Source organism: Homo sapiens, chromosome X (genome assembly GCF_000001405.40).
Source record: "Homo sapiens chromosome X, GRCh38.p14 Primary Assembly".
NCBI classification, from domain to species: Eukaryota; Metazoa; Chordata; class Mammalia; order Primates; family Hominidae; genus Homo; species Homo sapiens.
Window position 1 is genome coordinate 138,903,640 of NC_000023.11, and position 18,047 is coordinate 138,921,686.

General features: G+C 39.6%; 1 protein-coding gene across 3 annotated transcripts in view; it reads right to left on the minus strand.

Moving 5' to 3' along the window:
- Positions 1-18,047, minus strand: part of FGF13 (fibroblast growth factor 13) — a 590,297-nt gene that overhangs the window by 288,913 nt on the left and 283,337 nt on the right. The window lies entirely within an intron of this gene.

An 18,047-nucleotide genomic window follows, 5' to 3' on the forward strand; every position in this document is an offset into this window, starting at 1 on the left:
TATCCAAGATGCCTTCCCAGGCCTCTATGCCCATCTTAGTTCTATTATAGTAGAGTCAAGGTATCTGCTCCCTCTATTAAAACTTGAGAAAATTCTTGCCTCTTATGACTACTGTAGCATTTATTTTAAACTAAATTACCTTGCATATTTGCTCTGTTTATTTCACATATTCTTTCTCCCCCAAAATAGAGTATTCTATGCTGCTCAATAGCAGAATGATACAATTCTGGGCACCTCAAGTCTCAAATACTGGCCCAACAATGCTTCTGTGAGCAGGTGTATATGCATGGTAGGTAGGAAGGGGAAACAAAGGAAGGCCACAGTGGCAGTTATGATTGACTATGTATAAATGGATAGAGATTGATTCTCTAGGTGAAAGTTTCTAGCTATATATATATTTTAAAGTCTTCTTTCCATTTGGCAGATATGATTGTTCTGCCTCTCTTTCTCCCAGAGCTTTAGAAAAGAGATATATGAACAAAAACCTAGTAAATACTAATGTCAAAGTAAAATATGTTAAAGACAATTTCAAGCACAAAAAGACAGTGGCTCGTGTCAAGATACTTTAAGTATGGATACACAGAAGCAGCACAAATAAGATTTCAAAGAAGCACTTTGCAACTCCCAGGATGACATTTAGAATTTGTGTGTGTATCGTGGTTGTGTGGGGTGGGCGAGGGGGGCAGTATCTTTTAAATGAAATGTAGTTGGAACTGTGTTGATGTTTCTGGCAATGACATAAGGTGTTTGACACAAATTGAATTGCTTCGAATAGCTGTTATCTTCCACATATGAGGCTGAGCACCTACCAGGGTCCAAGCCCTTTGCTAGGCACTGGGAAAACAGATAAAATATAGGGCCTTCCCTTAAGACACTTCCATTCTAGATAAGTGGTGCTCAACTTGCACTGGCTGCACAAATAAACTCTGGTGGTGGACAGCATTAGAAATTCTGTAATTCAGTGGTTCTCACTCTTGGGTGCACATTTAAATCCTCCTAGGCCTTACCCTGAGACATTCTAAGTTGCTTGGCCTGTGGTAGAACCTGGAGGCTGGACACTGGTAATTTTTAGAAGCCCTCTCAAATGAGTTTCATATGCAGCCAGGATGAGAACCTCTGAGTTAGTTGGGAAAAGGGACATGCGCGCTCCAAGAGAACAAATCACATGGGCCTTTTTTCTTCCTTGACAATTTATGACTTGAACTAGTAGAATATGTTGAAAGTGAAACTTGGTAAAAAATAGATTTTTCTCTAATGTGACAGGAATCTAAGTGTCAGGACTCTTTCTATTAGAGATTTAGTCGTTACCTGCAAATCAATATGAAATATTGAAAAGGATTTTGAAATCTCAGTTAACTCACAGTAAACGTAAGTACAATTATGACCAAACCTGACGGAAAGAAAGAAGAATGACTTAAGAAATCTGGCAGTGGTCTGTACACTGAGATGGACTCTATGTCCAGATTGGGTTGAGTGGCGTAGAATTCCCCTAAAATCTGGGATTCTTGGGACAGGGACCTTACTGAGCACAGAACCCATGGAGTAGACGGTCCTAGAGCTTGCCTGTTCTTTGAAAACAGAGCAGTGACCCCTTGAATTTTGCATGAAAACAGAGCCTCTCACTCAAATGTAGGTCTCCTCTAAAAGGAATAATAAAACTATTTAATTAGGTAATTATAATACAAACACATAATAGAGACTTTAATTTTTATAAGCACAAGATAATGTGACTACTCTGACAATGGAATATACCAGATATTGCCATGTGGATAAACTATGCTCAGGATAAAAATGAGACTCCATATACTCCCTAAGCCACGTGGTTGACAGTGCATGGGAGACCCCAGAAGGCAATAAGACTCTAAGGGGACCTTGACAACTTTTGGATGCACGTATAAATGAATATGCACTGCCCTAGAGAGCTCAGTGGGCAGCTTTTACTAGGTGTGATTTTGTGGTCTGATGTATTTTTGTTGCATTTTATTTGGGGAGAAGGGAGTACAAACAAATTTCACTTTTGTGAATGAAAGTGACTAAAAACATGACCAGGAAGCCCTGACATGCTCTGGCTTTGCAAAACACTTTAAGTTGGGAAACGTGGTTGTTTAGGTCGTGGATCCAGTGGGAGAAAGTCCACATTAGAGCATGTCAGAATAGCCATTAATCCTTATTCTTAAACCTTTAAGGAAGAAACCACCATTCTCTATCTGATCTAGCTTCACCAATGAACCACAGCTAAGCCAAAAAATGTTCAATGGGTTCTTTTTGTCACAGAACAATGAGGCATATCCTGCTCTTCTGGTTGGAGTTTATAATGACAAGTCCATGGATGCTATAGGTTAAGCAGATGGAAATGAAACATCCATCTCATATGGTCATTTTATCGAAAGAGTTTTACAGGGCCAGGTAAGAATCATGGAAGGAAATTCCAAAAAACCAATGCAAAATACTATTAAGTGAATGCTCAGTCTGATATGTCTGGAATCATTGTCCCCAGGCTGATGATCAAACCCTGGCTGTATTATTTATTCATGCTGTGACCCAAAGGCCACGGAGGCAAGTCACTTAACCCCCAAGTCTAATTTTCCTTAAATGTAAAATGAAAATAAGGACAGTATGTACCATGCAGAGTTACTGTGAGGATTAAGTGAGTTAATGTGCAGCATGCAATAATTATTAATTGCTCTTGTCATTTTTATTGGCATACTCATTGTCTATTGGATACTAAGTTTATTCATTCACATGTTCATTCATTAATTCATTCAACATATATTTCCTGAGCACCTATCATGTGCTGGGCATAGTTCTAGGCCGTGGGGACATAGCAGTGAACAAAGGCAAGCCTCTGTCTTTTTGAGCCCTACATTCCAGTGGCTGAGACAGAAAATAGAAAAATTAATAAACAGATAAAAAGCAATGTCAGGTAGCGATACGTACAGGAAAGAACAATAATGCAGGCTAAAAGAAGCGTCATCGGCAAGCGTTACTTTTAATAGAATGCCAAGGAAAACCTCACTGAGTGTAACATTTGAGCAGAGATCTGAGGTTTCAATACTCCTGGTGACTAGGCCACCTATTTTTTTTCTAATTAAATCAATCAGGCTATTGGTATAGCATGCACCCTCAGCCTTCAGTTCTGTGACATGGAGTCCTATATCTCCTTTCCCCAGCGTTCATGTTTTAGTTGCCCAGGGATGTGCGATTACACTGACAGCATTGCACTGAGGCAGGCACAAAAGTCTGTCTCATTTGTAGCCCAGCTAAAAAATCTTGAATGTTAAAATTTGGCAGATCATTATTCCACCTGCTGATCCCAAAAGAGTAAGCTACTACTTTTTCCCCCTCTTCTAAAAATAGATAGCTGCTTCACTAACGTGCTGTGTAACAAAGAGGCTGCCTGGCTCTCCATCCCATTTATTTCCTATTATTCAAGTTGGCTAGGACGGTAGAGTTAGCTCCTGCCTCCCCAAGGAATTGTGGCCAGCCAGCAAGACACAGAGAATGTAGATTCCCTGTTAGGAAAAGCTTGGAGGGATCATCTTAGCTCAGCTTAACTAAGGGAATGCGGACAAGGAGGCAGGGGTTCTCCTACTCTCTCCCCAGTGCAGCAATGGTTTAGCAAAACCTTCACTAAGACAGAATATACTGCAAGGCCATTCTGACCTATCTCAATTGCCCTTAGTCACATCTCTGCTAGCTCCCCCTCCCCTCTCCCTAACAGATCAGAATCAGACTGATAACAAGATTGTGGGTTGGGAAGAGAACAGGGAGTTAAAGTTCAGGCTGCAGCTGGAGTTCTAGTAATTCAGCCTTGGGAGAGAGAACTGAAGCTGAGTCAAAATGCCTAGGGCCTAGGCATTGCACTCCTGACATTAACAGGACTGTAGGAAGCATCCCATGTGGCCTTTTCATTTTCTGCTTCATTTCTGAGCTGGGATGAGCACAGGCAGACAGCCCTTGTTTCAGATAGAGGTCATGCCACTGAGCATGCTCCTTGAGGGCAGGGATGTGGCTGTGCTTTTTGAGACACCTCTGTCTAGCATCATGCTTGGCTCTCTGATCTAGGCCATTTTGGTGATCTATTTATTCATGATTTCATTATTACACCTGTTTTCTTAATGAGCCATATACACATGGGGTTTCACTGGCAGCTTTACTTGGTTTTGAGAATTTAAAACCTAACTCTTGGTTACTAAATATCAAATAAGAATGCTGATTAGAAAGGCAGCCTGATATGCTAAGAGAAAGCACTGAGCGTGAAGTCAGAAGACCTGAGTTTTAATGTTTCTGAACAGGTGAAAGAAAATGAACACACAGAGAAGACAGAAAGAGAGGTATTTGCTATTTGGTGCATCAAATACACCAAAATGTTAATGATGTATATGTCTGTAGAGTAGGATTATTGGTGATCTTTTTCTTCTTAATCATTTTCTTTTTTTTTTTTTTTTTGAGACGGAGACTCGTTCTTTCACCCAGGTTGGACTGCAGTGGCGCTATCTCGGCTCACTGCAAGCTCTGCCTCCAAGGTTCATGCCATTCTCCTGCCTCAGCCTCCCGAGTAACTGGGACAACAGGCACCCGCCACTGCGCCCGGCTAAATTTTTTTTTTTTTGTATTTTTAGTAGAAACGGGGTTTCACCGTGTTAGCCAGGATGGTCTCGATCTCCTGACCTCATGATCCGCCCACCTTGGCTCCCAAAGTGCTGGGATTACAGGCGTGAGCCACCGTGCCTGGCCATCATTTTCTTTTTTTTTTTTTTCAATTTTATCTAATGAGCATGTAAAATCAGAATATTGACATTATACAAGAGATCAAGTTAGAATCTCATTTTTGTCATCTATTACTTCTGTCACTTTGAAGCCAGGTACAGTCCCTTTTGAGGGTCCTTAGTTTTCCCATCTGTAAAAGGAGAGGCAGGGATAAGGAAGATCCTTCAGTTCTAACATTCTGTGCTGCTAATGAAGTTTTTAAAAATTATATTAGTTAAAAAAACACACAATTTAAAGAGCTGAGACATTACTACTTCTTCAAGTCACCATTACCAGAGTTGCCATGTGCTGCGGGCGCTAATCCTTTCAGCAGGGTTCTGACTGCCAGTCTGAGAGCTCACAGGTATTGCTATTATTCTGAATTCATTTGTGAGTCACAGTCAGCCTGATACTGGATGTTGAAATGTCTTTGTTGCCAAAGGGTGGGATTAACAACAAACTATTCCTAACATCTGCCTTCAGCTGAAGCAATGTCTTTATTTCAAATTCTGCCTTAGAGTGTCCATCAGACATACACAGAACATAGTACATCAATTATCTCCTTGAATCACACTATGAAATGGAAACAAGTATTATTATCCCCATTTTATGAATGCTGAAACTGAGGCTCAGAGAAACACAGCAATGTACCAGAATTTGAACCTAAGGCTGCTTAGACATGCTAAATGTGCATAGCTAGGTTTGCTGGGGGTTACTGAGCTTCTAGTTGTCTTTATGTGGTTTTCCTCTGTGACTTAGGGACAGGAAATCTTATAGCCAAAAGGATTTTGCTATTGTGCTGTTTTCCTGTTTCCCGGGGATGGAGATAATGATCAGCACTACAAAAGCCTCTACCATTGCTCTCACCCGGAGTGGGAGACTTGAGGGTAGATGTAGAAGCCGACAGAGTACCCAAATGGAGCAGGTGGTAATTATGCCACGATCTCGGCTCCTTCCATGTGAGAATGTCCCAAAACCCAGAGAGAGGTAAATGTGGCAGCAGACCCAATGGAAAGCTCCTGGATGTGAGACTAAATGACACACCCATGGAGCCTTCTCAATTTGGTTTTATGGTCTCAGTTCAATTAGACCTGAAGTAGAGCCCATTCATGCTTTAAGATTAAGAGAGGTAACATTGGCTTCTGATTGGCATGGCCACCCTATGGAAGGGTATTGTTTCCCAACTTTGTGCTAGCATGACATTTTTATCACAAGGGCCAATAGCAGGGCTAATGCATGCAGGCACAGTGAGTGTGGTCAAAGAGCAGCGGGATTACTAATTAGTGTGTACAACTCTGCAACTTACAGTTAGGTGATGTTGGACAAATCCTGTAAGTTCTTTAAACTCCATTTCTGCATCCATAAAAGGGAGATAATAAATCCATTTCACAGCATGTTTATGAGGATTAAACTAGGACATTTTTCCAAAGTGAGAGAAAAACATTATCTGAATATGTTAGCAGGCATTTGGTGGGTATATATGTGAATTGGCATGCACATGAGCAGGAGTGTGCCATAATCTAATGAGTCTGGGAAACACAGGAGCAAAAAAAAATTAAGTTAGTGTATCATAGCTCTTATATCACAAACTTCCCATTCCATCATGGAGTCCAGAGGCTGCTCAAAAGCCCCAGAGACAGTTCAAAGAAAAGCCAGAGAGTCAGGATGGCCTGAAGAAGTTAATCTAGCCCACCAGCTTGTTTAGAGTATAAAGAGACAAGATCAAGCTATGTACCACAGGTCTTCCTGCATTTGGCTAAAGGACATAAGGACATCATGTTAGGAGTCTTCAAGGTTAAGGAGTCCACCTCAAGCTCAAGAAATACTCACACTGGCCCCAGACTGGTGCCCAATACCCTCCGTCATGATCAGGTTGGTCATTTTTGATCACAAAGAGCAACCCATAAGATTGGCAAGATGTGCCATATGAAAAGACCAAGTTACAAGAAGACATTAGTTTAGCCTAGAGGTGACATTGGTACCTTGGTACTGTTGTGGTCAAATTCCCAAGCAGATAGGGCAAAACCAGCAAGATTAGAAAGTTCAAAGTAGAGGCCAAAGCATAGGAAGATGGCAGCATCAACTTAAAGAAGTCCCAAATGAATCTAATGTCAACAAAGGAAGCCACTGCAAGTTCTGAAAGGCTGGTCTTTCTGCTAGATCAGAAATATTTAAGGGAACATTCCAATCTTGGCTAGAGCCAAGCAAAAAGCTGAGATTTGAAGGAGACAGAGTATGCTATAAAACAGCAAGAGAAATATACTTTGGCTCTATGGAAACCCAGGTGAGCATCTACCATCCCTCCTTGAAACATGGTCTCTACACACAGGACCCAGGTAATTAATTTATTGAAAATTTATAATATACCAACTGTATCAGCTACATGACAGACATTATATTTAATGATTAAATAATGTGCCTAGGAAAACATTAATAGCAAGAACCAGGATTGAAATCCAGGCTGATCTGATTTCCAAAGCCCAGGCTTTTTCATTTATACTGTGAGGTAAGCAGGTTGTTTGGCTTTCCTAAACCTATTGGCCTCTATGTCAGTATCCCAGTGCAGGATACTTACCAGTGTCCTACAATTTGGTCCCATGCCTATTCATTCACTCCCACAGCTCAAAGGCCCCAGCACTAAGGATTTTTTTCAAGCAAAGGAGGTGCTGGGATGCTGGGATAACTAACATATCCTCAGGTGACTAAATAGTAAAATGAACCCCAACTTATGTCAATAAAGGAGCAATTATCTCATTTCCAGGGAAATCTGAAAGTCTTGCAGTAGATTTTGAAGACAATTTCATACATACTTTGCCTGAGCGCACCTCCAGGCCATTGTTCCAGCTTTTTTCTGTAGTGAGAATGCCTGTGTCTGGTCAAATCCTGTGTGTTTTTCAAAGTCTATCTCATCATGTCCTTTGCAGGGACATGGATGGAGCTGGAGGCCATCATCCCTAGCAAACTAATGCAGGAACAGAAAACTAAATACCACATGTTCTCACTTATAAGTGGGAGCTAAACGATGAGGACACATGGACACACAGAGGGGGGCAACACACACTGGGGCCTACCAGAGAGTGGTGGGGGGAGGCAGGGAGAAGATTAGGAAAAATAATTAATGGATACTAGGCTTAATACCTGAGTGATGAAATAATACGTACAACAAACTCCCACAACACAAGTTTACCTATATAACAAACCTGCACATGTACCCCTGAAATTAAAATAAAAGTTAAAAAAAAACAGTCTATCTCAAATCTAATTTCCCACTTGGAAGTATTTGCTCGTTCTCCCAACATGCAAGGGCCTTCACTGCTCTGAATCTCCATGGCAAATATTTTATCTTGTATCACAGGCAGCTAATAATTTACCTTTACCCAAAACTTTGCAACCATCTGTAAACTTGTCAAAGTGGAGACTGCATATTCCTCACATCTATATGTTCCGAAACACCCAGAATAACACCCTGTCTCAGAAGATACTCAGGAATAATTCCTTGACTTAAATGCATATGGAAATGTCCAATACATATCGTAACAGAATAGCTCCTTCCAGCTTCCTGGTTTGAAGTAAAAGGGAGTAACACCCTTGGTCTCTGAGCAAACAGCTTTCCTACTATCTTGGAGACTGGTATTTTTATATATCCCAGAAGTAGCATGGCACATTTTATAAAAATGTTTGGAGTTGAAATAAAAAATACTAAACCAGACAAATTCTGACCTGAAATCCATAATTCCTTTAAAATCCTTCTGTTTAAGATGACAAGCAGAGATTGATTAATCCAAGGTTGATGAATGGATAGCTTCATTCACCCCAATCTGTCTTCCCCTTTATCTACTGAGAATACATGTTTTACCAGTGCTATAATGTTTCCATGGCAATTTACATTTTGAACTTTTCACAATCGTTTTCTGTCGGCATTCAGCATGCTAAAAAAGAGTGGTTAGGTCCACATAGGAAACAGGGAAAGACTCAACCATTGAGATGTTAAAGGTCATCCTTCAAATCAGAGGCAGTGCTGAGAAGAGAACACTGACTTCAGAGACTTGGGCTCTGAAGGCATATTAACAAGCCAGTTGTCCATACAAAGGAAATAAAGAAAAATGCTACTGAATTAGAGTTAGAAACTTCTATAAATATATCACTATTTAATCAACTTAGAGTAAAAGATTGATGGAAGTTGATCAAAATTGGGTGGCCTAACGAGCAGATTAAAGAACACAGATTCCAAGCCCTACCCAAAACCCACTGAATCAATAGCTTGGCAAAACTACCCAGTTATTTGCATTTTAGTAGGCTCCCAAGAGATTCTGTTGGGCAGCTATGATTAACATCATGGATTTATGTAACTGCAAAGATGTAGGATTCGAACTCTCACTCCCAGATTCTGTTCTGCTTTGCCATGAAGTTGCCATTCAAAATGGCAGTGGGGGTTGGGGAATGATGTGGATAGTTTTCAGTCTGCATCCAGGGAAAATGAACCCCTTTAAAGAGTCCTGAACAAGTCTCTGGAAGAGAGCATCCTGACCCTTCCTCTATTTGCACGCAGTGTTTGGCCCTGACATTTCCTCAAAGCCAGGTTTTCACTCTTGTGTTGTCCTGGTATGAAAAGAAAACAAACCCCTAGCAAAGACAGCTCATTTAAACCCAAGATATCATTCCACAGCAATAAACTGTAAACAAAATTTCACTACATCTCAAACCCATTTGTAACCAGACAGCATCATTTTACTTTTAAGGGAAGGACCTTGTTATGATTTTCTTCTCTTGCACCTGGAAAGAAAAAGCATCTACTTTTTTTTTTTTTTTTTTTTTTTTTTGAGATGGAGTCTCACTCTGTTGATCTTGGCTCACTGCAACCTCCGCCTCCCGAGTTCAAGCAATTCTTCTGCCTCAGCCTCCCGAGTAGCTGGGACTACAGGCGTGTGCCACTACACCTGGCTAATTTTTGTATTTTTAGTAGAGACGGGGTTTCACCATACTGGCCAGGCCGGCCTCAAACTCCTGACCTTGTGATCTGCCTGCCTCGGCCTCCCAAAGTGCTGGATTACAGGCGTGAGCCACCGCACCCGGCCACATCTACTATTTAGAAGTCCCAATTGTAGTTGGGTTACTGTTAGACTTGTGAAAACTTGGTGAATTAGATTACTCAGAATCACAGCAATAAACAAGTCAGGAAGGGGAAAGAAAAGAAAAGAGAAGAGAAGAGAAGAAAAAGAGAGAGAGAGGGAGGGAGGGAAGGAGGGATGGAGGAAGGAAGGAAGGAAGGAAGGAAGGAAGGAAGGAAGGAAGGAAGGAAGGAAGGAAGGAAGGAAGGAAAGAAAACTATCAGGGCGAACAAGGAGTATTTTAACATCAATCTTAGAACATAATAATATGACTTGACTGTTTTTTCCAATCCTTATGATTAGAAGAATTTTTTGTTTTGGGTTTCTGGTGCAAAGATAAGACTCCAGGATGAAATAACTTAATAGAAACAACATGTCTCCACCCCAGGATTACATCCAGACCAACCCTCAGGGAAGGCTCTCACTGTTATTCTGTTAGTATTCTTTGTACTGTGCTTGAACCAGGTGAGCTAATGCCTCATTAATGAGGGCAAGGCCACCACTGAGATAATTCCTCCCCTTCCGGGCCTTAAAAATAAAGAAAATGCAAAACATCATGGAAAATTTTCATAAGACTTTGACAAAATCCATTCACTAATTACAAATCAATCATCAGTCTTCTCAGAGATCCTACGCTCAAGGCTCCTACTGAGAGAGCACCTTATCCTCACCTCTTACCACTCCCCTGGACAGCAAGTAGCTCATGGCCAATAAAGTATTGAGATCCAGGCAACAGGATACTAGATGGGATGGTTCCTCCTACTTGTGCCCCCCGAGCTGCCATTGCCTTTCACACAAATACCATTACAATCCTTCTGGCCCCATCCCATTTTCATGAATCCTTCTCCTACCATTATTTTGCAGCTATCCCACACTGTATGTTACTCCAACTTTGTGGTCTCAGCCTGCTCTTTCTGAAACCATTTGCAAAAAGTGAAAGTCTAGCCCTTCATGCTGCCTTCCTTCTCAGATTCCCCAGACAGCAGGGTTGGGGTATTCATGGCATGGGAAACATTCATCTCTGCGTTTTTCTTTAGATTCAATCTGCCTGACAGCACATTGGCAGCTTCCAAAACCACCAATGGTTTCCAAAGGTTTTGTACAGCCAAGACCTCACTAGTTTCGAAGCTTGTGTTGGACTTTTTTTTTTTTTTTTTTGCCTTACAAACAGAAAAATATAAGAAATAAGGAAAAATAATCTTTTTTATTTGTACAAAAAGACCTCCCATGCTTATGTTGGAAAGGCCCTGCTGAGAATTCCTTGCAGAGAAAAGGAAGTAGTAGGAAAACTGCTCCAAGTTTAGTTTAGTTAGTTTTAGTTTATCTTAGAAAATCCACTGGGTTGTTTCAGGTCCCATGACAAATGTATCACCATCTATACTCCACTGGTAACCACTTGGCACTGCCTGCTCCTGTGCACATGGACAATTCTTTATGGCAATTATTTGCAATTTCTGCCTGCCAGAGTGCATTCTCTGGCCCCAGAAGCTTGATCAGCCTGGGCATAGAGTAAGCTAGAGAGTTAGTAATTTCCAGGGAGTTGACATTCCTAGGAGGAGCCCTTAGCCATGACTGATAGCAGTTAGTGAATGGCTACTCCAGTTTTTTCAACTCAGAGGCATGTTCTGCACAATTCCTAGGGTTCCCAGGATGACTGAGCTCCAGTTGCTCATTAATATACTTTATATTGGCTTAAATAAATTCCTTTCTTCCCTGTTTCATTTCCCTACTCCATTACTGGTGCTCTGGAAATCACCTCCCAAAGAAACCACTGGAACTCAGATCCTGTCTCAGGGCCTACTTTAGGAAGAAGCTGACTTAAGACACTTATCCTCATTATCAGATCCAATAAACTTGGAAGAAGAAATTGGACATATTCGATTGAGTTCCTTTCTCATTCTTGCTAACTGCTTGCTTGAAGGAGCATGCATTCTTGTTTGCTTGGCCACCGACCTAATCTATGTTCTACAAGCAGCTTTACCAAAAATTGAGGTGATATTTTCACCTTTATCTACCTCACACTTTCCCTCATTTTTTCAAGACTCAAATGGGGAATGAAGGGGTGTTATTTATTGATCCACTAAAGCTTCAACAGGTATTTGTGTCTTATCAACATCTGTTGTCAGATGGGATCTACAGATGAGTAATCCCAAATCTTCAAGAGTTCAGGCTGACGGGTCCATGGTCTTCTCTTCATCATTGTCACCAATTTTTATACCCCCTCTTCAGAGATGTAAAAATGCTCATTTCTTGAGATATGAACTTTGGAAAACTACTTAAACCTCTCCATTTCCATCACAGAATTTTTGAAGGATTAGATGTGAACTAAAGTGTCTTTAAAAATGCCTGGCTTATAGTATTTATTGAACAAATGGTAGGTAAATTTAAATGGTGAACTCTGTTGGCTTCTCTAAGTTCTTCTGGTCCTAGTACCTTCACTGATCACATTTAATTCTTACCCATTCCATAGCAAATAAATTATATAAATACATCTTTGTTTTGGGTCATTAGAAGCTGCAAGATATGAACAGCAAGCAGCTCTGTAATGTTTGGGTAATTTCTTTTTCAATTGGTCCTGCTGGTGTTGCATAAAGGTGCCTCCAGAGCTTTGGGAGACCTGTTGATCACAGAGCAACATCTGTTCCATAATTCGCAGTGAGTCGATTGCAAGACAGCAGGAGATGACTTGAAAATCTCACTCTCCAAGTCTAGGATAGCAAACTCCTGACATATGGGACACTCTGACAATTCTTAGTGCACAGTGCCCAAAACACTTTTCACAATACTTCTAAATACGGACTCCTGTTATATTTCCACAATTGATTGGAGTTGACAAGTGAAATGAGCTCATTTGCAATCCCTGATCTGTTTAAACTAGATCAAAGAAGAAACAGTCTTCATTTAATGTGGGAAAGCTTACAGGTATGTCTGATTATGATGCAAAGAAAGGGTCTGCATTTTGATAGACCACCATCAGACAGGGACAGCAATGAATCAGAAAAAGGCCAGCTTTCAAGACATCATATTGATTATAAACTCATTATCTATTTCTGATGTTGACAAAGATATCATTCAGTGAAATATTAATATGAAACTGGCAGAGCAAGTTAACTGCTTTATAACAAATTAAATTCTCTAAAAAAAGCTGCTTCGCCTAAGAGACTGATCACATTCTACATGCTATTCAGGTATCACATCAATATTCAACTGAGTACTGATCATATTTCAGTGAGACCAATATGAGCAGAAGCAAATGAAACTTTAGAGACCAAGTTATCCAACCTACTCTTGGTACAGATTAGAACACTGATTTCTACAAAGAAAAAGAAATGTGCCCAAGTTCACATAGTGAGTTAGTGGCACAGTCAAGGTGTCCCGGCTTCTGGACCAAAGCTGTTTTTACTAAATCAGATTATCCCTAAATTACCCAAACAAAACCAAATGGATGGAGGGAGCACGAGTGAAGGGAAAAGAGGGAAAGAGAGGGAACAGCAAGATAGTAGAAGACGTGAAAGTTTTGTTTTAAAGCTGACCCTGACTATAACTATGTAAGTGGGTTCATATAATACTATTAATTATGCAAAAAAAATGAGAAATAAAGAAAAAGAGAGCAGCATTATATTGAATTACTAAGTGGCCTAACACTTAGGAAAATGCACGTTTAGTTTTTGCCTCCTGCACTGTTATGGACTGAATGTCTGTATCCCTCCCAAATTCATATGTTGAAGCCCTAACCTGCAATGTGATGATACTAGGAGCTGAGTCCTTTGAGAGGTAATTAAGGTTAAATGGGTTTGTGAGGAAAAGCCCCTATAATTACTGTTCTCACAAGAAGAGGAAGAGATACCAGACTATCCTCTATTCACCATGTGAAGGTACAGCAAGAAGGTAGCGATCTGCAACCAAGAAGGCAGCCCTCACCAGAACTCAACAATTCTGGCACCCTGACCTTGGACTTTCAGCCTCCAGAAATGTGGGAGATAAATGCCTATTCTTTAATCCACTCAGTCTGTGGTATTTTGTTACAGTAGCCCCAGCTAACTAAGACACCCACACTTCACTTTACTTTTTGAGCAGCAAGTCCCACTCAAGGTATTTTATTTTCCTATCATTTACAATAAATTCTAAATGATAGCTCACTTTTGGACAATTGCTTCAAGTTCACTAAAGATTATCAAAGTGTGTTCTTTATATCTTCTGCTTCCTTGGAGTTATGCTTTATTTTTCCTTTTTTTACTTTTAAGTTGCCTTTGCTATGAACATATTTTGCTACAGGCAACATCTGGGGGTGTGTATTTCAGATCCCACAGGTTACCATGGCATAAAATTAGGCTTTCAGGTCTCTAATTAAAAACAGACTTTTTGCTTCATAATGGCAAAGTCCAGAAGCAGCAGGAATTGACTCGAAAGGAGGTTCTATTTTCCCTCACTTACCATCAGAACAATCTTCCTGAGTTATGATGAATCTGAAAGGAATGTCCATTATTACTTCATCTGACATAAGGAGGTACTAGGAATTTTATAGAGTCTGATCCATCTCCCTTGGAAAGAACATGTGTCTGTGCCTATGATGGGGAGACGAATCATACCAACAGATAGTTTAACCATTTTGGACTAAAACCTTTCCAAAACAATTGACACAATTCTCTGCTTCTTTAAACAGAAGACAAAAAAAAAAATAGGATTTCCTGTTTTCTTGTGCTTCAGTATTATTTTAATGCAGCTCTTGGCTTTTGACACTGAGCCTTGTTATTCGTACATACTCTGGGAATTGGACTTTGGTTTTCCTTCACTCTGTCATGATTAAACAACCCCTTTTATTACCAAGGTCTTCACTGCCTTGAGCACAAATCCCCCACACTGCATCCTGTGGCCCCCAGACCCTTATTCACTGTTCTAAGCAGGTCAGACTACAGAGCTCTGGCCAGTCCTGCTTCTCTCATGAGGAATGGACCCATGGACTATAAGGGAATTTGCCTTTGAACTAAGCACACTAAGGCTGCTTTGCTCTGTGAGGTCTTAGGTCTGCTTATTTTGAATGCATCTCTTTCATCCCCACATTTGATAAAGGGTCACTGATCACTTACTATCCATCAGACACTGCACTGAGGGATACAACTATTAAACAAGTCACAGTCTCTTCTCTCATGCAATCTACAGTTGGTTGGGGGACACAGGTGAGTAAACATACAGCTACACTGCAGTGTGAGAAGTACAATAAGGAGGGTAGCACAAGATGATGATTAAACATAAAGCAGGAGCTCAAAACAAGTCTTGAGGAATGTAATGAAAGGCTTCGCAGAGGAGTTAATATTTGAGCACTGAAGGATGACCAAAAGTAGATGACCAACTGGAAGAAAGTAGAATTAATTGAGATGGCCTGAAAAATCATCATTTGTTGCCATCAGAGTATCTGTCTGTAGAATTTCCCTTATGCCTTCCAGTGTAATTCTAACTTATGAGGTGCTTCCAAATTAGATCAGCAGAAGTATTAATACTGTGTATCAATTAAGAGCAAAGAGGCTGTTTGGTCCCTAGGGGCTTACCTATGGAAAAAAATGCAAAGGAATTTATTATGTAAGATCACAAAAACCACAAACCATAAAGGAAATGACTGATAAACATTGCTACATTAAAATTTAAAATGTATGCATGAAAAAATACACCACGTACAAACTAACAGGTCACAGACAGGACAACATTTGTGGTATATTTAACGAGGATTAGTGCTAATAATTTAAAAAAGAACTCTAACAAATCAGCAAGAAAGAGGCCAAAAATCTCATTAGAAAAAGACGGGCAAATTATATAAATGGAAATTTCAAGGAAGAGAAAGCTCTAATGACTTTATCACATATAATCTCGAAAGTGTAAATTAATAAGAGGAAGATGGTACAAAAACTCAGAAAAATAGTTTGGCAGTGCCTTTCAAAACTAAATATGAACTTATCATACGACTCAACAACTGCACTCTTGGGCATTTATCCTAGAAAAATAAATAAATTTTGTAAATTGTAAATTATTCAAACGTCTTTCAATGGGTAAACCGACACAACTGCATGCAACAACTTGGATACATCTGAAGGAAATTGTTGCTGAGTTAAAAAGGTCAATTTCAAAAGGTTACATACTATATAATTTCTTTTATCTAGTACTTGTGAAATAATAATTGTAGATATGTAGGACAACTTAGTTGCCAGGGATTAGGGAGAAGAGAGAGGAGATGAATATGGCTGTAAAGGAGTAGCACAGAACAGTCTTCTGTATAGTGGAGTATGTTAACTGTCACGGTGGTTACATGAGACAACACATATGATAAAATTACATAAAACAACACACAGAAAAACACAAAGGGGCTCATGTTTAACTGGTGAAATCTGGGAAAGCTCTAAAGATTTTACCAATGGTTTTGATATTGTACTATAATTATGTTATATGCTAATACTGGAGGAGGCTGGGGAATGTTGTATAGGACTTTTCTGTGTATTTGTTTGCAATCTTCTGTGAATTTATAGTTATTTCAAAATAAAAATTTTTTAAAAATTAAGAAGAGGGGAGAGTAGATTTGAGGCAAAGTAGGCCAAATGACATTTGTTTATCTTGTCAGCAGGCAAGTGAGAGTAGGTAATATTTCTGCACCAACACTGTATGTTTAAATTATTTTGTGATCATAGTTAAATAATAATAGTAATAGAAAAAACAGGTTTGAAGTCAAGCATAACTCATTTAAATCATATGACTGTCACTAATTAGCTATATGATCATGGGACTGTCAATCTCTCAGAGTATCTATTTCCTCTTTTATGAAGTCAGCATAAAAATCCCTGTTTTTAGAGAGTTTTTTTCGTAAGATTGATTAAAATAATGAACATAACTCACCTGGCATATACTATGAATGGAATAATGACTGGTATGAATTTATGATAATGATGATGATAAAGGTTGTTCCTTCCTATACAGCATCAGCTGAAATTAATTTGACATGGTCCCACAAGACAAGCTGAAGATTATTCAAGTTAACCTATGGAGGCTTTTTCTTAAATGAGAACAAGTCTACCTTTGGTGGTTTTCTTCACTTTAGCAACATCAAATCATATCATCCTTTAGATAATTTCATATAATACCATGAAATGCTATCACACAGAAGGTAAATGGGGATAACTGATGTGCTATCAACTCTGCCACAGAGTTGTATTACTAGTGTTCAATGTTGTAATGATAGAGAAAGGACTGGACGAGCGAGGTGAGAGTAACTGCTGGGAAATATGGTCCAAGTGCTCCTGGTCTTCTCTACTGTCTACCTTATCTCTGTAGATAAAGGTTTCAACAGTTCTTGGCAAGTCTCTATGAACTCGGCCAACTATGCACAAAAGAACTGGTATCAATTTTAATGTAGTTAATATATTATGTAAGCAGTTTAGCCTAGTTCTCTTAAGAGCATGGATTTTAGGTTTAGCTGACCACTAGCTCTGCCACTTACTTCATGTATACCCTCAGACAAATTACATGGCCTCTCTAAGCCTTTACTTTCTTATCTATAAAAATACAAATGATAAAACCTACTTCAGAGGGCCATTATCAGCATTAAATAAAATAATCTATGTAAAAGTCTCAGTCTGGTGCCAGGTACATAGTTAGCACTCAAAAATTAGCTAATATTTACCTACCAAACCACTAAGTATTACTTACATCAAAAGCAATCTCTACTGAGCATGACATTTTTTTCACAAAAGTTCCTAGAGGGAATTAAGAGGTCATAGAAAACGAATTGGGTTAGAACATTCATGCACTCATCACTACCACCATGCAGAAGTTGTGCAATGTGAACTCCAAAGTGTGTAAAGGCTTCATTTCACTGTGTGAATTCAGGTGGTAAATACTACGGATATTTTTCAGGTTATTTGCATATTTATTATTTCTTTTAATAGTATTAATTCTTACTCCAATGTAGCCCTGACCGTGTTACTGACAATGTTGATTGAATAGGTATTATAAGAAATGCTACCAAGTTCCTTAGTGTGAGTCCTACATGTACCCTTTCCTGTCACTATTACTTCCAACTTTCGTGGTATTTCTGACTTCCAGCTGTAAAGAGCCCATGAAACTATGGTTTCTCTACTTGTCCTTTTTGCCTCAGCCTAAGAAACATATCTTGTGATTTACAAGAAGACAGTCAATATTATGGGGCAG